Source organism: Homo sapiens, chromosome 20 (assembly GCF_000001405.40).
Source record: "Homo sapiens chromosome 20, GRCh38.p14 Primary Assembly".
Taxonomy (NCBI): Eukaryota; Metazoa; Chordata; class Mammalia; order Primates; family Hominidae; genus Homo; species Homo sapiens.
This window is the reverse complement of record NC_000020.11, coordinates 60,919,405-60,941,070: the sequence shown is the minus strand read 5'-3', so window position 1 is coordinate 60,941,070 and position 21,666 is coordinate 60,919,405. Positions and strand designations below refer to the sequence as shown.

Here is a 21,666-nt window from a genome sequence, read left to right as displayed (position 1 = left end):
TAGACGGTCACTTGTCCAAAGCATGCTGGCTGGGATGAACATGGGAGGAAGGGTGGAAGGAGGTGAAGTCTAAGGAGTGTCCTCTCACTCATACATTCAGGCTACAACAGCAATATCTGTATCTGCGTCTATATTGGTGTCTATGTGTGTATCAATACCTGTATCCAGAGCAACGTGCATCTCTATGCACATGTCATCTAGTCTCAATATCTATATCAGTACCCATAACAGGATCTGGATCTGAATCTACATCAATGTCTGCATCTATCTCCATATCCCTATCTTATCAATATCCATATCGTATCTATATTAATTCCATATCGTATCATATCAATATCCATATAAATCTATATCCATATTCCTGTCATATCCATCTGATATCATCTCTATATCCATGTTTATATCATATCATACCATACCTATGTCCATATCATATCCATACCCATATTATATCCATATCATATTTATATCATTACCCACACTACATCTATATCCATATTTATGGCATATCCATATCTATATCTATATCCATATTCATATAAATCTATATCCATATTAATTTCATATCCATACCCATATTATATCTATATCCCTATTTATATCAAATACATACACATATCAAATTCATATCTATATTGTATCCATTTATATATCATATTTATACCATATCAATATATCTATATTCATATATATTATATCTATGTCCCTATCATACCCACATCTCTATATCTATATTATATCTATACCCATATTGTATTTATATCCATATCTATATCTATATCCATATAATATTCACATCCATATCACATCTATATAATATCTACATTCATATCAAATCCATTCCATATCAAATTTATATTCATATCACATCCATATTCATATCTGTATCCATATCTATATTATATACCTATCTATATTATATCTCTATTCATATCCATCTTATATCTGAACCCGTATCATATACATATCGATATCATATCTATATCCATATGTATATATTTTATCGATATCCTATATCCATAGCATATCCACATCCATATTCATATAATGTCCATACCCACATTCAGATCCATGTCATATCCATTTTATATGCATATTAATATCATATCCATATCTATACCTCTCTATTTATAATTAAGCACCCACGCGGCAGGCACTCAAGGTCCCCATTTGCAAGTTGTACAGAGTTCCTAACTGAGCAGAGCTCACCAACTACGTGGAAGTCAGACATTTATGGTTTGGACAGTCACTCAGTCACAATCCTCTTATATGTTCCAAAAGAGAAACACATAGGGGTTTATCTGCGGGTACAGAGCTTGTCAGGGAAGAGTTCTAGAGAGGAGACGTGCCAGATAAGACAGGATGGGGCCTAGACCCTGGCATAGGTACGGGGCACAGAGCCCCTGGGAAAGTCATCCCAAAAGCCTTGAGGGTGAGCAGGGTTCTGTGCTTTTGGAGACCTGCAGGGTTGTTTCGCTGGAGCCTGGGCCGGCTGGAGACCAGGGGAGAAGAAACCAATCACCTGCTAAAGATCAGGGGCTCTGGGCTGAGTAGGGGCCTTAAACAAAGAGAAACTGGGACGGTCTGCAGGTATCTGTTTATCTGCAGAGTTGAAAATATCTGAGATGATACTTATTTTCCAAAAGTATACAAGCTTCTCAAACCTGCAAAGCCCGTCTCCAGTTCCTTATCCTTCCTGGCTCATGGTCTCTGGGAATTTAAGCACAAAATCCCACATATTTTCACACTGTGCCTGTCAGAATGTCAAGACCCTGACAAGAGTTACCAGGATGGGCTAACTTTTTGGGAAGGAAGAAAAAATGTCTCCTCATGGTGAAGTCAATGCAGGAGCTCAACCCCTTCCATCACTTGAAATTCATAGGTGAAGCTGTGCTCAACACCACAGCATTCAGTCTATTTTCAATGAGGAAATGGCTCTTAAACAACATTTTCAGCCTGCAAAATATAGTTAATTTAAGGGCTCTGTTTTAATCTGTAAATTAAATAATGAGAAGACCCTTATGATGGCCCACACACACCCAACGCCCAGGAACATGCCTTTCCTCTGCAAATCCCCACAGCTTTCCTCGGAACTCACACACAGTGACTGTAATTACACCGCATATCAGAAGGTGTCTTTGGAGAACTCAGGTGCAGAGAAGCCGTGTGGAAGGCACATTCTGAACGTGAGAGATGGAGAATTTGTGGACCTTCTCTTCCTGAGTGATATGCCTTTCTTTGCTTATTTCTGAATCCTTCTTTTCCTTTAAAGATTTTTCTTTTCTCATTGCACATTTACAGAGGCTTCCACTTTGCAGCGGACACCAAAATTGTCTGAAACATTATTTTTACCATCAAGCTGAATGAAAAGTGGGTTTATATTGAACTCATGGACATAGTTTAGAAGGCTTCCTTGTCCTAGAAATGTCAATCATTTGGAGAAGTGAGTTTCACACCGTGATGAACTAAGTATCTCGGCGTAAAAACCCCAGCAACTTGCCCTCACGTCTCCACAGCAGGAAGTGGCTTTTGAGTCAGGATCAGGGATCACTGGTAATGCCAAGGGGACTCAATCCTCCTTCCCAGTGGCTTCTAGGGAGCTGATTAATGGAATTTAAGACCAAAGGGAGGGATCCTACTGTTTTCCCTGACACCCCCGCCTTTCCCCTTTCACTTTGAGAAGAATAGTCCTGAACAGAAGTGGGTGGGAATGCGCGGAAGACCACCTTTGCACCTCCCCTCCCTGGGTGTCTCACGTGGCAGGGACCTGGGTCTCCCTGCAGCAACGCAGGCGGGTAGATCGGGACTGCGGTGTGGACATGTGGCTAGGGGAACTTTGCCTCTAGGAGCTCACCAGGACTTGTAGGGGAAGGGGCTTCTGAAGTTGCCAAGCAGGCCTCAAGCACTATTTACATCACGCTCTTCCAGAAACAGGCTCTGAGATAAAGATTTGAGGGCTTGTGGGTTGTGTGGGAGAGGTTCCAGGGAGCCGCAGCGGTCCTAGGGAAGTGAGGTGGGGAGGGACCCAAGCCGGCACAGGTGAGTTAATGAGCAGGAGGGCACCCAGTCCTGTGGGGACTCTGCAATTACCAAAGAAAATGTCTCCGAGCTGTCACACGAAGGGATGAGGAACACAGAATATTTACTGACTATTTTTTTTTTTTTTTTTTTTTTTTTTGCCCAGCAGTGGCTGAGAGCTGTCCCTGAAAGAACTGATTTCCACACGTTCAGAAACTGATGCCAAGAAGAGGTGGGTGGAGTCCCAGCTGCACGGCCCACGCCCTTCTTCGGTCCTGGTCTCTCCAGCCCACGCATCTCTCGAGAGTCTCTCAGGCCCACACTCTGAGTGTCCATGTTACTATTTTTAAGAATGGATGGTCTTAGCTGCTCTTGATCATCCAGTTGTTCTCAGCGGTGATGCTATTTGTCACAAGGCTGGCTGGTGTCTATGGAAGTGTTCTGCATACACGCTTGTGATCAAAACAATGCAAAACTTAGAAATTTCCTTTTGTCTTTCCCCGTGAATGTTAAGCTAATAATCTATTTTTCTGCCTTGTTATTTTTATAATGACAGATACCTCCTTCCCATAGTTAAATCTTAATGATACATTTGAGCATATCAATATATTGTCAGTCTTACTCCCCCTACAATGTGACTAGACATGGTTGCAGGTCTGCTTACCTCACGGTGAGAACAAACTGAGAAAATGTGCATGAGCCCTTTTGACAGAAGAGAAACTGAGCTCATGGATGCAGTCAGTCCAGTCACACATGGGGAGCAGCACTTGGGACAAGTGGCAGCAGCAGGATTCAAACCCGGACTCCATGCGGTGCAAAGCCCCTGAGCTCTGGCTATACCACAAACCAAGTGTCAGAAGACTTTTCATTCTGTCCGCCCTGATGGGGGAATTAAAAGTCAAGGCAGGGAAAGGTCTGAAAACCAGGAATGAGAAGCTGCAGAGCTGAATATTTAAGAAGCATCCTGATCTGTGCTTGGGATGCTTCCTGCCATCCCTTAATTCATTGATGTAAGGAGTGTTTGCAGGTGACCCCCTGGTGCCAGATGCTGGGCTGGATTCTGGCTCTGCACCAATGAATGAAACAAAGGTAGTCCTATCCTTGTGGAGCACAGAGAGAGGAAAAGGTCATAAACAGTTAGCGGACAGGGGCGTATGAACTTACACATATGGAGAGAAGTAAGAGGGAAACAGGGTGCGGGGACAGTGATGAAACTGGCTATTAGGTCAGGTGGGCAGGGGACAACTGAAGCTCGAGGGTGTCTCTGCAGGGCAGGAAGCAACCAGGGAGATGAAGAGCACCCTAAACGGTTGGTTTGGCACAGGCAAAGCCAGGGGCGGGGGGTAGAAGGGCTGGAGGATTTGAGAAACAGACGGATGGGAGAGTGTCTGGGGCTCTGGGCTGAACCCATCAAACCCCACAACTCCAGGCTGAAGCCAGCAGCCCACACAAGAGAGTGAGAGGAAGAAAATGACTTTCTTGAGGTCATTTTACTTTTGTTTTATTGTGACTCTAGAAAAGACAAATGCAGACCCCAGGGTCCCATCTCGCCTTAGATTCTTCTCCCCAAAGAAAGCTCTCCCTAGGAGTGGCAGGTGTTTTTGTTTTTGTTCTTAGTAATTTCTTCTAGAAGTCTATGTTAGTCCATGTCTGTATTCACCTGTGCATATGTTTCATTTATTCCAAAGGTTCACACTATACCCACGATTTGGAACGTCAGCTGGGAGCTTCCCACACCAGCATCTCATTTCATTTTCAAGAGTGTCATTGAGTTCCCGCGTGCCCACCACAGCACCGATTCCTCTAGCCCTTTCCAGACAAGCTCTTCAGCACTCTTCAGTGTCTTCCCACCATCAACAGTGCTGTTGGGAGCTCCCCTAGTGGACTGTTGCCCATATAAAGCCCTTCAAGGCGCTGTTATATCAAAGGATTTGTGTGGACAAGCTTCAGGGATGCATCTGGGACAAGGCTTTTGCTGGACCTCTCGGTCCTGGGGCCTAGAGTCAGTCACGACAAAGAAGAAAGCCTGCAACAATTGGGAAAGTCTTTGCAGGGGAGTAAGAAGGGACAGTGCTAGCCTTCCCACTGCATTGCAAGCTCTCCTCTACATGGGACCAGATCAGGGCCAGGCTGTCTTCATTGTGACGGGTGGATTTCAGAATTTGTAGAATTGTGGACCTGGTAGGTTTGGAGACCAAGTTTGAATTTAGACTTATCTGCTTAGCATTTGTGTGACCTTGGGCAAGCTATGTCACTCTCTGAATGGCAGATCATCTGTACAAAGGGTGTAATTAAATTAACAATAAAGGGTGATTGGAATGACAATATATGGACCTTAGTAAAAATACAGTAACAGATGTTGGCAGTGAGGATACTGAAAAATTATGGTGCTAGAGAAGGAGGAGAGGAGGGAAGGGGAGAAGGAGGAAGGTAAGGGGAGGAGGGAGAGCAGGAGAACAAGGAGAAGAGAGTTCAGGAGAAGGTGGCAAGGTGTGCAGATTCACCAAGCCCAGGTATTAGCTGTCTCTATTTAGCCTCATTAGTTATGTTCTTAATGAACCAAGTTAGAACCAGACCTAACAGGAACAACAAGAAATGCAACAGTATAAAAGCACCCAGAGAGAAGTGTTTATGGGAAGTCCTGATTCACTCCTTGGCCTTTTTCTAAAAGTTGGAGTGGCTGTGACCTAGGATCCCCTTTGGCTACTTGGATAATTACCCAAACGTGGATCTCTTTGCTTTAAGGTTTTTTTTTTTTTTTTTTTTTTTTCAGGGAATCTCAGGAGAGAAGCAGGTGCCAAAGGCATTTCTATCATTGCAAAGCTGATCACGTCTATAATTTTCCACAGCATCTCTCTATGAGATCAGGTACAAGGAGATTTCACAGTCTGGGAGGAACCTGCCGGAAATGCAGCCCCGTGGCTTCCTGTTCTCTTCATGGGAAGGCATTGTCATCATAGCTTCCATTTTTGCCTCTGCTCTTGTTATTATATATTCAAAGTATTATACCAACATCCCTGATGTGTATCATGCTTTCACATATTTAACTTGGCTGTCATGAAATTCACAATCACCTAGACTAGGACAGGGAGGCGGAAAGGGGAGGGGTGGATGGTGCTGAACTTGCAACTGTAGGGCTGAGTCAGAGCCCTGACTCTGCAACTTAGAAGCTTGGAACCTTAGCCTCCTACATGTCACCTTTCTGTATTTGGAGGCCGCAGGACCTGTTTTACTGCAACACCTGCACAGGGTTATTGTGATGATCAAGGAGAGCCAAGATTTGTGCAAATAGTTTGGAGACTGCAAACGGAAAATGAGGATGGCCTCCTAGCTCGACAGATCTGCCCAAGGCTGCAGAGCTACTAAATGTTAGAAACAGGTCCAGATTTCAGGTTCATTTACCTTTGTTCCTATTCTCCAGAAGGAGACCCTGAGATGCAAGATTTAATAGGGGACACTGCTCAGGAGAAAGGGGTGGGGGAAGTGGGATGAGACATGAGACAGAGCTGAGCATGGATGTGGTCATAGCCAGACCCTGGGAGGAGCTCTGGGGCATAGAACACTCCACAGAGCTGGCCTCCCCCTTTGCACACCACGCTCAAGCCCTGCATGGTGACTTGAGTCCCCTACATGTTTCCTGTACTGGTCTTACCATTGCAATCCTTCTGGCCCATGGCTCACTGCTGCCCAAGGCTCAGGACTTTTATTCAGGATCATCTAATTCTCTTTCTTTGTGACACCACATCATAATTACCTATGGGTTGCCCTTCTTCAGAGGCCATGGCAACCTGAAGTCAGGGGATGTTGCTTGTTTATTTTGTGTGTCTTCATACCCCAAAACTCCTACCCAGTGGCCTGAGACATGAGGGGCCCAACAGCAAGGTAACTGGATGTTAATGACAGAGGGTTTCTGACTTCTCAACTCCATGCCAATCATTCCCAGCCCTGCACACCGTGTGAGGCCGTTTGATAGTCACAGCCACTCCACAGTGAGAGGTTCTAATTATCTGTTTCACAGATGAGCAATCTGAGACTCAAGGACATTAAGCAGCTTTCCTGTGACCACACCACAGGGGAGAGAGAGAGGGCCAGGTTTAATCCAAGCCATCCTGGAGTCCTGATCCTGAACTCCCGAGTCCTGGGCTTCACTGTCACCAAAGAATGAGAAAATCAAGAGACTGGGAAGAGGCTGCCCTGGGTGATGACCAGTGTGAGATGGCCATTTGAGAGGGGATCATGAGCAGGTGGAATCTCAAAATGGGAGAAAGAGGAGTAAGGCAGGGAAGGGCGATACTGTTCCTCCACCCCCTACTCTGTCCCCAGTGCACAGCCTGCACCCGGGCCCTAGGAAGCTGCTAGTGGATAGCTGATAAATGGATATGGCCTAAAAGCCATCTTAGACACTTTCTCTGTTCTTCTTCCCAATTCTATGGGCTGCTTTTCACATTGATGCCAGTAGCAGCTTGAAGATATTGTTACCTACTAAGTATTCATCTCTTGGACACCAGTGAAAGTAGTTTCCACAAGTTTCTCTCTCTAGTTGAAGTGCAATATTCAAGCATTAGACCCTCCCTAGCAGCGTTTAAATAGTTCCGCTCCAGACCTACAGAGTCAAAGTCTCCGAAGTTGAAGTGGGGCTGTACAGAGGTCCTGGCAATCTGTGTTTTCCAATAACTCCTTGGGTGACCCTGATGCTGCTTTCCTGGATATGGAAATCCCTATGAGTTGCATGGGAAGATCTAGATTTTTCCAGAACTGAGTCATGCACAAATGTGGAGATTTTCTTACTACTTAATAAAAATCAAATTATGAGTACAAAGTTAGAGAAACGCCTTGGGAGAGCCATCTCCAGGAAACACCATATGTGAAGTCCACCTGCGACAGCATAGAAGAAGCCCTGGCCCTGTCCTGAGACCCTTCAGTCTGGTCAGGCACACCTCACAGACTGGATGGTGAGGATGTAGGTACCCTCGAGATGCCACAGTGGAAGGAAGACTGTGTCAAGGACTATTCATGAAATTTTAATGAAACTTGGATTTGGTCTCTTATTGGGGTACAGGAATGAGCGTCCCATAGCAGGGAAGGCACACAAGTGACTAAGAGCATCATCCTGGCACCCAGCGCCTCCTCCTCGTTTTCCGCTTCTCAGACTTAGATGTTGGAATGCCTAGATTCTACTTTTCCACCTTGTTTCATCCCCAAAGGACTGTCCCCTTTCATGGTGAAGCTCATAATCTGTAGTCCTCTGGGAAGTGTGGGCGAGTCATACGATTTGACTAAAGACAGAGCCAAAGCAACATCTCATTCCAGCAGTTGGCTCTCAGGCAGTCCCGGATGCATTCAGAGATGCTCCATGCTGTCCCCACCTCCTTGCATATGTTATTACTGCAGAAAGATTTTTAAGGCCCAAGAAGAAGAAAAAAAGGGGCATTTGAGGAGAGGCAAATCTAGGGATGAGAATAGAAAGAGCTTTGATTGTGGTTTGCTTCTATGATGCTTGTACATTCACCTGATCCCTGACCACAGAGACCTCCAGCAGAACTAGATCACAGGATGGTCAGGGTCTCAGCCACTCCCGTAAAGCCCCATGGCATCATCTCTAACAGGAATATTTCTTTTTTGGTTTGGGGGATGGTGTCTCATTTTCTCAGTCCTGCTTTGTCTTGAGCAGACTTGCTGCTCAATGCAGCAGGCATGGATGCCAGTCAGCGAGATTTCCTCCTGGCTCCATATTCCTACTGGCCAATGTATGAACCTCAGAGCTGGACCATTGTTCTCATGAAAACAACCATTGAAAACACTTTCCATCATGCGTTACGTGCCAGGTGTTATTTTAAGTTGTATATGGGTTCACCTTTTTAACTCTCATAACCCCGCTATGAAATAAGATCCCTGTGATCCCTCAGTGTATAGAGCGTATAGACAGAGAAACTTGAGATTGAGTCACCCACCCAAGGGTGAAGGTAAGAAGTGGCAGAACTGGAGTTAGGACATAGACAGTTCACTCTGGAAGCTGTGTGTTCAGTCACCATACTATCCTGTCACTGGGAAAAAACATGTTCCTAGAAAAGCATTACTTTCTTAAGAGAAACTAAAACAAGAATAAAAACAAATCAAAACACAGAACAAGTGGCATTTCCAGGCCCCTGGAAGGGAGCCAGTTGCTCGTCTGCATCAAGTCCTGTATTTTAGGCTTTGAATTCTGAGTCAGGCAGGTCTCTCCTGCTACAGAGGAAGTAGGGAGAGCAGCTGAGATAGGGCGAGGGTAGAATGGGGACGAGAAGGGGGCAGGGGAGGGCCCCCAAGCTGAGTAGGTCCTGGAAGTGCTGCCCAGATGCAGAGGTAGACGTGAGGGAGGAGTTAAGTTCTGGGATGAGTTAAGCATCTTCCTGCCCCAGGCTTGAAGAGGGGGCTCAGCCTCCTCCCCTGCCATTCCCCTTCTGGCCCCATTCCTATGACGCTTTCACCAGCTTCCTGTTCATTCTCCCACTGCACCAGAGGCCCTGACCTGGCCCTCAGGCTGGACAGTTCCTCAGTTCAGTATCCGAGACCCTGCTGGGCTCCCCCACCCTGCGACTGCTGCAGCCTCATGGAGACTTCCATCCCAGGCTGGACCCAGCCACTGTCTCACCAGCCCCTTCCATGCAGCAGAAAGGTGCTCTCTGGAACGAGGTGGTTCTCACACATTCTCCATTGCTTTGGGACCCTCTGATAGCCCCTACCATGCCCTCTTCCCACAGCCAGAACTTACCTGGAGGCTAAGTCCCCACTGTAGTCTGTCCTTTGGAAATACTCATCAAATGTGTCATTACTTATCCAATATCTGTTGTTTCCCTAACAAGGTCGTCAGCTCCAAGAGTACAGGGACTGGCATGTTCACTAATATTCTCTGTGTCTAGTACTGTGCTGGGAACACAGCATGTGCTCAATAAATGCTGCTGAGTGTGAATGCGAGAAGGAACACATGAAGAGAGAACTGGAGCTGAGTGCCAATTAGGACAACTCAGGGTTATCTTCCCTGAGTCCTCTGCAGGGAGGGAGTGGTGGGAAAGCTTGTCCTTCCAGTCTTTACTCTGTCCTGGGGGTTTGCAGAGGGCCAGGGACTCTCAGGGGCCTGGAAGCACAAGGCTCAGAGGCACAAGATTCCCTTCTCTTTCCTCCACTGGGTCCAATTCTTGTAGACATGTTTCCCTGTGGTTCACTACCTCCTGCAGTCCTCTTCGCTTTGAGATGACCCAGATTCTCAACCTTCATGAGCCAAGTTTGGGAACCCCTGCTGTGTGGGGAAGGAGAGCTGTGAGGCCATGGGAACCTCTCATTTTGCAACCTCTTCCCCTCATTCCTCGCCTTTGTCCTCTGACTCGCAGTGGGACCTGTGGAAGATGAGAAGGGGTTGCCCTTTTTCCATGTCTCCTTTGGTCTTCCTCTCTTTACCCATCCAACAAAAATACACCTGGTGCCTAACACGTGCCATGTGCTCCACTGAGCGCTGAGGATGCAGAGATGAGCGAGTTTGAGCACGACTCTCTGCACTTAGGCTTCACGGTCCCTCTCTGGCTGCCTGGAAACGCCCCCTTCACCCAGCCATTCCCTAAAGATGTACTTAACCAGGGTTTGCTAAAGTCCCTCCTTTGCAATCGCCCAACTCCCATCAGCGACTCCTAGGCACCACGTCTCCCGAAGCTTCCATCAAATCACCCACCCTGGCAAGAAAAACTGCAGCCAGGGAGACCCTCTGGCTTCCAGTGTTTTACTGCTTTCCTAATAAGAGGAAAATTACAAGTGAACATTGTCAGTAAATTCCCTGGCAGAGAGAACTCTCTGATTGTGCAATAACCTCTTTCTCCATCCACCTGGGAGCATGATGGATGGACCTGCGACATGGAAAATGTGAAATGAAACTGAATTTAGTAGCAATATGGTTCATTAATAGAGGCAAGATTTTTGAAGAGGGCTGAGGAAAGGGGCTAAATCCTTGTTTCCGTGACACCTTCAATTTGAGTATTCTTAGGAACTTGTCCGTCTGAATACTTACCCTTTTGCTACCAAGAAAATGTTTCAAGGTTAAGACAAACATGGGCCTGACTCTTGAAAACTGCCTCCAGCTTCTGCACTTGAACTCATAAAGTCAGGATAGAATTATAATGTATCCCAGTTAAAGAAATAAGAAAGAGAGAAGAGAAAAGGGGACACACATCCTAGAGAGAATTAAATGTCGGCAAGTTCAATTTTAATACTGGGCTATGGTAAAGCAATTGAGGGATGTCGGCACTGTTTTATTATTTATGCAGCAGACAAAAGTCATCTGCAAAGGAAATTTTGTGATAGACAGTAAATTAAGCAAAGCTGCCCTACAAATTTGGATTAAGTCTTACACTGGTTTTAATATTTAATACATCCTCATGAATCACATTTTCACAAACTGCAGTAGAAGTTCAGGAAAGGCTTTAGAATGTGTTGGTTTATTATTACTATTTTTCTTCCACTAAAACCTTTCTTTAAGTAAAGCATGGGGTCGGTTGCATTTTATTTTACAATATAAAACACAAAGTCAAATCTCATTGACCAATGGTGTTGCTGGATTTAGTCCAATGCACAACGAGTGACTTAAACTCAAATATTAAAAGAACAACTCAAATTATATCCCATCAGAATCAAGTGCACATGCTCATTCCCTCTTGGTTTACTCTGTGAGTTTAGGGAAAATTGGCTGGAAGGTTCATAATCAAATGTGCTATGGCATAAGAAGAAGGTTTGTAGAACAGAGAACTCAAAGAACAGAAGGGAAAATGGTTTAAAATCCTGTATATCTGATTGCATGTTTAACACTCTGTAAGCTACCAGCTGACATGAACACATTTTTAGCTCATCAGGTGTATATAGTGGTGTTGCTTCATGCACTCCCAAAATATCTATGAATGCAAACCTCATAACTCAGCTTTATGCTCAGATGAGTGAATCAAAGTCTAGATACATGAGTCAGAGAAGCACAAAGAAGGAAAAAATATGCACCACAGAGTGACCAACTTAAGGAGCTCATGATTTAATGACAGAGTCATGTTAAATGGTACATGAACAATTGGAGGAGGGGGATGGGATAGCTTCATTTAGGCTACTGCTCACCAGGTAGCAGACACCTCTAACTGACACCAATAAGCTCGAAGCTGGTCTCAGACTTCTTCTCCACATAGTTGCTTCCAATGGATCAAAGTTAGCATGGGAGACCAAAACTACTTTCCATTCATGAATGGAACCAAGAGGATTGGCTCCATGAAGAGTCATGGTGGGAGCAGGGTTGGTAGGGAAGGTTTCAGTTGCACCTAAGGGGATGGTAGGCAGGTTTGGGTGGTGGGATGGGGGCTGGAAAGGAGGACTAATGTGAGCCATGTCACCAAGGCAGGAAGAAGAAAGGGACATGCAGGAGCCAGAAGAGAAGAGTCCGGGTGTATCAGAGATTGTGTCATGCAGTGAGGCAACCTGTAATGTTGGACCTGCTGAAGGCCATCTGGAGAGCTCAGCCAAACAGCCAAGGCATATGAGGAAACTGGGGCCACTTTTGGGCTGCTGAGCATCCTGCCAATATGAAGCCAGCAGTCTTTTGGCAGAAGATTTTTGTCCAAATAAAGAAAGTGCATCTTTGTAGGGTGCTGCTGAAAACCTGCAGTATATCCTAGGGACATCCAAAGAGACAGCTGTGGCATCACCACCCAAGGGGACCCTGGAGTCTTCCTGAAGCCCTACCCCCAACCAGCCTGCAGGGGCAGAGAAGACCAAACAGTGAGGTCAGGAAAAGGGTGGAGACAGAACTTCAAATCATCCTTGGGAAGATGGCCTGGAGATTCTCCCAGGTCCAGAGATATGCTAGGTTAAGTTGGGCTCCCCTAGAAGCAGACTGAGAGATGAGGATGCGAGAGCAAGGAGATTATTTGGGAGGCGATGGAGGTAATCCTAGGAAACACTGAACCTGTGCATTCATGTGTAGAATAATATACAGATGGTTACATATAGGAATATTTGTAGTTAGGTGCATATACACAGTTAGTATACACATAGAAATCTTTGTAGATAGGTGTATATACACAGTTAGTATACACATAGAAATTTTTGTAGGTAGGTGCATATACACAGCTAGTATACACATAGAAATCTTTATAGGCAGGTGCATATACACAGTATTCACATAGAAATCTTTGTAGATAAATGCATATACACTGTTAGCATACATGTAGAAATCTTTGTAGATATACTCATATGAACAGTATACACATAGAAATCTTTATAGACAGGTGCATGTGCACAGTATACACATAGAAATCTTTATAGACAGGTGCATATACACTGTTAGTATACACATAGAAATCTTTGTAGATAGGTGCATATACACAGTATACACATATAAGTCTCCTTAATCTGTCAGCTGAACAGGCCAACAGCAATCAGTATTCACAGGGAGCACACCTAGAGCCCAGTTACTGCTTTCTCATACCGTTCTCCTGTAAAGAAAGCAGGGCACCTAGGAGAAATCGCTGATTCTAGGACTGGTGCCAAGAATATAAAAGATGAGTCTGTAGCATCTTACAGTGTCAGAAAACAAAGAAATGCTCAAAAAATAAAACTTTAAAAGTTAAAAAACAATAACACATAGATGGGGGTATGTCCAAGAGGCACAGGCACCCACTGATATAGCTCCCGACAGCCAAAGCTGGAACAGTTTAAGCAATATATATATATATATATACATATATAATATATTTATAATTATAAATATAATTATAATAATATATATAATTATATATAATATACATAATTTTGAGACGAGTTAGACTGATGGAGTTAGATAAGTGGAAATTCAGGGTCCTGGGAGCAGAAACCATGAACACGTTTTGTGAAGAGAAATGAAGTTGGGAGGATTGAAAGAAGCCAGCAAAAAGTAGATTCTGAGGCAGGTGCTTTGCGTGCCTAGGGCACCAGCTTGGGTTTCACTGGGTTTCACACATAGACCGTGTGAGGAGCTTCAGAGGAAAAGATTTGTCTACTTTGCAAAATATGGCACTTCCATCTCAGATCTCTCATTTTCCTGAAGATTGAAGTTAGCTTCTATTTTGCTTTCAGAATAGTCATTTGACATTTTCCTGAGAACAAGGCTGTTTTTCCATCCACAACTATGTTCTCTAAAGGGTAGGATGGTGCCCTTTCACCACGGAGCTGCTATGATTTGCTCTACAGCAAGCCTACGAGTCCTGCCCGTGTAAGACAACAGCGGGAATGACATGGCCCCTGCTCCACACCTTGTAATGTGCCTGCTGCAGAATCAGGTGATAATTAGTCTGGGAAACCCTACAACTGCCTTTGCTAGAGCAGGTAAATAGATCAGGTGGCCCCGGGGCAGGAATCCAGCCTCTCCTGGGATGCACCCAGGGCTGCATAGCTCTCCCTCCCCAAGGGACTCAGCTGGGGGGAAGGCCAGTTGTCTGCTAAGGGGCACAAGGGACATTTCAAACTCCTGGGAGAAAGTTGAACAGTTTGAGTGTGAAATTAGCATGATAATTAACATGATAGTAAGGTTTCTACAAGGTCTAAATGTAGATGTAATTTGGGTCATCTTTTCTAAATGGGTGTGCTGGTTATATATCTATATCTATATCTAACTATCTATATATGTATACACATACATATGTTTAAAAGCCTAGGTGTCTTCAGAAAGTTTTTTCCTGTAGAGCTCTCAGAAACAGCAGGGTTGCCTCATAGCTGGAAAAAGAGGAGAGGAAACACTGAGAGGCCGGGACACCCCCTTGGCAAATGTGTGTCCCTTGCAGCAACATGTTGCAGCTGGAGGCCATAATCCTAAACAAATTAATGCAGAAATAGAAAACCAAATACCACAAGTTGTCACTTACAAGTGGGAGCTAAACATTGCCTACACATGACCAGAAAGAGTGGAACTACAGACAATAGGGACTACTTGAGGGGGAAGGTTGGAAGGAGGGTGAGAGAAGAAAAACCACCCTTTGGGTGCTGTGCTCACTGCCTGAGTGATGAAATCACTTGTGCACTATACCCCAACAACACATAATTTATTCATGTAACAAGCCTGTACATATGTCCACTGAACCTAAATAAAAGTTGAAAAAAAAAGGTCTAACATGAGTCTAAAAATGAAATGTATCGCTATAAAGCTTACAGAAGAAAACACAGGAGAAAACCTAGGTGATCTTAGGTTTGGCAATGAGTTTTGGGATACAGCACCAAAAAGCATAGTTTATGAGAAAATAATCGATAAATTGCACTGAAATTAAAAACTTCTGCTCTGAAATTAAAAACTTCATTATCACTGTTAAGATAATGAAAAGATGAGCCACAGATGGGGAGAAATATTTGCAAACCATGTATCTAATAAAGAACTTGTATACAAAATATACAAAGAAGTCATAAAAAGTCAACAATAAGAACACAACCTAATTTTTTAAAATGTAAAACATATCATAAGAGACATGGCACAAAATGTACAGATAGCATATCAAAAGATGCTCGACATCATTTTCCATCAGAAAATTAAAAACTAAAATGGTGATATTTCATTACACACCTATTAGGATGACTAAAATCCAAAACAGTGACACCAAATCCTGACGAGACTGCCAAGCAACAGGAACTCTCATCCGCTGCTGCTGGGAATGTAAAATGGTGCAGCCGCTGTAGAAGGCAGTTTGGCACCTTCTGACAAAGCCAAGCATAATATGACCATATGATCCAGCAATTGTACTCCTAGGTATTTACAAAATTGATTTGAAAACTTATGTCCGTGCAAAAACCTGCATGTGAAGGTATAGCAGCTTTATTTATAGTCAAACAAAATTGGATGCAACCAAGATATCCTTCAATAGGTGGGTGGAGAAACAAACTGTAGTATATCCGTACAATGGAATATCATTCCATGGGGAGAAAAACAAGAAATGAGCTATGAAGCCTTGAAAAACATGGCTTAAATTTAAATGCATAGTAAAAGAAGCGAGTCTGAAAAGGCTCCATATTGTGTGATTCCAGGTATATATCATTCTGAGAAAAAGCAAAACTGTATTGATATTAAGTTTATGAGTGGTTTCCAGGTGTTCAAGAGGAGAGGGATGGTGAATAGATGAAGTGCAGAGTATCTTAGAGCAATAAAACTATTTTGCATGATACTGTAATGTTGGAGACATGACATTATAAGTTTGTCAAAATCCATAGGACCTAAGAGAATGAAGAATAAACCTTAAAATACAAATGCTTTAAAGACCATTTAAGAGGTTTGTCATCCCAGGGAGGAACCATGTGAGAAGAGAATCTAATTGGGCTGCAACTGTACGAATCAACCCTGAACAAGGAGTTGGGAGAAGAAAGGTACTGATCTAAACAACTAGTCTGTAAGACTAATGGCAAAAGATATACAAGCACTATACACTAGTTGGTGAAATTATTTCCCATGGAGTCTGGGATGATAGTCTTGAGGTCACTCTACATGTATACTGGAATTGAGCAATTAACTAAATGATTGTTGGATGGGGAAGCCAGGTTGCTCACTGTTGGAGTGGATGTTACAGAGGTGCAAGAGGAGGAGCTGAGAATGAACCACATGATTGTGGATTAGGGTTGGAGACATCAATGGAACTCATGTTTAGCTTGATATAGATATAGGTAAAATATTCATAGGCATATGTATACACATGAATTAGCATACATACACATATTCCCTTGCTCTGTTAGTTGATAAGGCCTGGAAATAGTGGCATCCAAGTAGCAACGAACACATCTAATGTCCAGATCTTCATTTCTAGTGCCACTCTCCAATAAAAGTAACCAGGGATCCTTAAACAAATGGCTCATTCTGGGACTGGAGGAGGTAATATACAAGATGGGTCTGAAGCAGCTTGTAGGGCCAAAAAGGAAGAAAGTGCTTAAAACAAACAAACATACAAAATATAAAACAACATACACATTGACAAAGCTATCTCAAAAAGCACAGGAGCCAACTGAAAACTCCTAATGACCAAAGCTGAGCCAAGGAGGCCAACTAAAGGAGCAATAAAGGCATGGGTTATAACTCAACTTATAAAATAAATCTCCACTAACCTATTTTGATATAAATTAATGGTTAAATGAATGAACAAATAAATAAACAAGGAGAAAAGACAATTTTCCAATGAAGGATAATTTCAAATAATTTACACAGATACCCTGCCTTCATGAGTAGGATTCCATGAGTAGAAGCAAGACTCCTACCCCATAGGTATTAACTACACATAGTGGCTTCCTTCCATAGAGTACAGGATGGAAGCCATCCATCCATAGGGTGGATTATAGAATGGAAAGGGGGAGATAGAGTAACTTTACAACAGACAAACCTGACCATCGCTACCTCAGCCAGGTGATCAAGGCTGATGCAGGCAGGCAGTAATGTCATGCATATACTATGTACCTTTGATATGATGTGATAGGAACTCTTATTCACTGCTGTTGTGAATGCACATTGGTAAAGCTACTTTACCAGTTTCTTACAAAGCCAAAGATGTTCCTGTAATCAAGAATAGGAAAAGCACTTTACCTCTGTGGCTTTCTTCCCCCAAACCCATAACTCCAGTCTAACCATGAGAAGACATCAAACGAATTCCAATAGAGGGGTATCCTCCAAAATTGTAGTTAATGATGTATTAATATTGGTTCATTAATTGTGACAAATGTATCATGGTAATGTAAGATGTTAATTGGACAAAAAATTGGATGTGGGGTGTACACGGACCCTCTGTACTAGCTTCTAATTTTTTCTGTAAATCTAAAACTGTTCTAAAAATAAAGTCTATTATATAATTGTTCTCTGTTAGACATAGTTGAGATAGATATTGCTCAATGCCAGATATGTTTTTTTGGTAAATAAATTTTGAGTTTTATTCTTGTATCTAGCATTCATTGAATGCCTGTTTACATGCCACATGTATTTCCCAGCTCTGAGAATAGAGCAGAGAACAAGGAGACGAGGTTCTCAGGATACTCATGGTCTTTCCTTTGTGCCACTGCTCTGCATTTCTTATGACATGGAAGTTGCTTTGCCAAGTGATTTACTTGTGCCTGAATTTGTCTTACTCTCTCCTACTATAGTAGGAGTTGCACTGACAACTTCAATGGGTCATATTCAACTCCCAAATCCCAAGCCTAGTGCAGTACCTGGCAAAAAAAAAAAAAAAAAAAAAAAAAAAAAAAAAAAAAAAGCACGTAATGGATCAACACATTCCTTCTTTAATTTACCAAATTATTATTAGATTTCTATTCTGTATTACACATTGCATTAGGTCAAAACTCACGGCTGCAAGATGTTGAGGATTTCTACCAACTCCCCCCATATGGGGCAACATGCAAATACAAGAACCATCTTTGGAACAAGCTGTGGGTAAGTGTGATACCCACTAACAGTTACAGAGAGCAAGCAGTGCTTGGTAATGATCTGTGTGCAGGTAGTTCCCACAGAAGGGAACTAGGCATTCAGCATGTGCTATGCCCCCAAATGTAGTGAATGGTTTGGATAATGACATTTTACAAATAACTTGCACCAATAAGAAGAAAGATTGCACTAAATTATTAATGGTGCTCATGGAGGCAGGGAAGGGGAGGAAAAATCTCCACATATTAACTTTTCCTGCTTCTCTAATCAAGAAAGGGCTGTAGCTGAAAGGGAAGAGATGGGATTAGGGGAAGTTTATTGCAGTGTGATTCCCTGCCCCTGCCATTTTCCCCATTAATCAGCCCACGTGTCTCAAGGCTGTGACTGACTTGTGTGCTGAAAATGATTTTGTCTCTAACATATGTTCAGGTAGGCTGCTCTCCTTCCACATTCAATAAATATTTATTGAGGTGGACCACATGCAGGTATGACTCTAGGTGTGGTGGATGCATGAGGGACATTGTCCTTGCCTTCATGTAGACTGCATTCTTCTGGGGAAGCTAGAAAATGAACAAATAGGCAAACAAATGAATATTTTAACATAGTTATGTATGTTAATAATGACTTTAGACACCTTCCCATGACCACTAATTCAGCCCTCTAGCTAAAATAACAGCTCTTTCTCTGTGTGTACTCCTTCCCTGGATGGTCATTTACGTTCCCTGGATGCCTTTCAATCTCATCTCCATCCACTCTTCTACCTGATCACCAGGATCCAGGTCCACCATGACCTCCTGTCTGCCTTAAACATGCCCAACTACCCCATCTCCCACTTCAGAGTCTTCATTGCTGTAATTTGCTCTGCCCAGAATCACCTTCATCACCTCAGACCCTTCTTATTCTTTTGGTTTTGGATTAATTTCTACCTCTTTGTAAGTCTCCATTTAGGTTTTAACTCCCCTTTACTCCAGAGGTGAAAAATGCAGGCTTCTGGTGACACTGCTGTCCAGCCCACACTGAGCTGAGGGTTTATGCGGCCTCAGCACTGAGGCATGCCCAGGTGCATTCAAACTATTCTGTGAGATGATTCTTTGCACCAATCCCTGTAGGGTTCCCATTGTCTTTGGCAAAGAAGCTTGTGCATGGCACTGAGTTGGGGCCAGAACATGGTTTGTGGAGAGTGGGTCAGCACTGGGGTGGGGCAGAGGCATATAGCTGGGCCCAAATTATAGTTTCTGCAATTAGCCAGCATCAGGCAGAATGGAAATGGGGGGAGGTGGCTGGCTTTGTGGAGCTGCAGCCAGAAGGCAACTTTCAGGGCGAGCAGAAACTCAAAAGCAGGAACTGTTCTTTTACCATCGCAGAACTAACATCACGCTCCTAACAGCAGCATCCGTTCAGCGCCTCGGACAGCTCCCAGGAAGCCAACAACCTGGACAGCTATGAAAGGACTTTTCACTCCACTTTTAAAGTAGTGGCATCCACCTTGGGGATAAAATGCAGACCAGGAAGTTACAACCTACAGCCCCCCAGGAGCTCTCAGTTCCTGACATAAGTAAAATCATTCATTCATTCACTCATGGTACACTCTTTGAGAGCCTCTTAATGGGCAGGGCTCACACTTGCAGGATGCTCCTTGGGTGTGCCTGCATCTACAGTGGGAGGGACTAGGTGCAGGTGGGTAATCCTGCTCGAGACACTGCTTCATTGTAGAAGGGGAGCCTTTGGAGCAAGGGAGGTAGGCTCACCTCCCAGCTCTGCCATTTACATGCTGAATGGTCTTGATATAAAAGGAAAATGATAATAAAGACACAAAGTTAAAAAACACTTCATTCCTCCACTTTCAAGCTCATCACCATCTATGCTGCTGGATTGTTGAAAGAACGATAATTAATGCCTGTGAAGGATCTAGCACAGAGCTTGGCACCTGGACCTCACCCAGTTAACGGTGTGTGTGAGGACTGCGGAGGGCACCAGCCCCCAGAGCCTCCAGCTCATCTTGTGGAGACCACGACACAGGCCTTATTCTTGGGCACTGAACAGAAGAGAAATATTGTTTTGATTTCATTTCATGGGCAATGCCCACAGAATGTATCTGCCTTGAAAAAACAAAAACAAAACCCCCATTGCTTTCTAACCTGCTATACTGAATTCAGTGCAGCCCCTCCATGGGAAATGGCTGGTCAAGCTGGCCTGAGTTCTCAACACCACATACTTAATATACAAAGCCCGTCACACAATAGTGCCTTCCTAGGGCTCCATCCATCTTGTGAAGGCAGAAGGCTGGCAGCTTCCCCACAGTGAGACCATTGGAGGTGTTCACTGCAGTGGGTATTCCACCTTCCTTCCCTGTCAACGGCGAGTAAGAGGCTGTTTCTGCAAAGCCCCTATTCTCTTTCCTTTCATGTTCCTGTCACTGCGGAGTTTGCATGGGGGCTATTGTGTAGCACTCTAATTGTTTCCAGGAATAGGTGATGTTGCCTTAGAAAGCTAAAAACCCCACCATGTCCCCATTGAGAACTGGAGGCTCATTCCCTTTAAATATGTAAATATGTCACACCCTCTCTGTGGCGTGCACAGCCTGAAGCTCTCCAGGCTGATTGCTTAGATTTGAGGACTTTCTGACAGTTTGAGCACAGGAAACAATGAGAGGGAGAGAGAGATGGAAAAGGAGAGAGGAGGAGGGGAGAGAGAGACTGAGAGAGGGAGAGAGACTGAGAGAGAGAGAAAGAGATGGGGGGAGAGAGAGAGAGAGAGAGAGCAAGAGAGAGAGAGAGGAGAGCAGCACAGAGCAATACATTTCTCTTCCTTAAAAGAGACACCAAAGTTGACAGAACCATCCTTTCATTTCCGTATTAGACTCTCCAGAGCATTCTTATTTAGGTAGCAATCTTTTAGAAAAGATACCACTTTCCGCAAAACACACAAACACCTAATTCACTGGGGTGATATTTGCCATGGCAATTTTTTAGATAAAGAGCTATTTTGTAGAGTTCTGTGAACAAGGCATTTTTAATAGTTGTAGGCTGATCCTTTGCTGGTGGAAACATCCTCATTCCCATGGCTCCTGGCAGAATGTCTGAGCTTTTATCTGTATTTCTGTAGAACACCAGGACCAGTACTCATTCCATGAGAGTCCAAAAAAGGGAGGTCCTACGTGGTGGTGGTCAGATCATTTTGGGCATCTGAGTATCCTGAGTCAGGCAGCTTGTCTTGAAGGGCACAGGCACTGGAAG

At 43.8% G+C, this 21,666-nt stretch overlaps 1 annotated feature.

Moving 5' to 3' along the window:
• Positions 19,751-19,951: a silencer, noted in NCBI's record as "peak4294 fragment used in MPRA reporter construct". NCBI's record gives its function as "represses an SCP1 promoter by STARR-seq MPRAs in K562 erythroleukemia cells {active_cell/tissue: K562}" and the evidence as "EXISTENCE:reporter gene assay evidence [ECO:0000049][PMID:32103011]".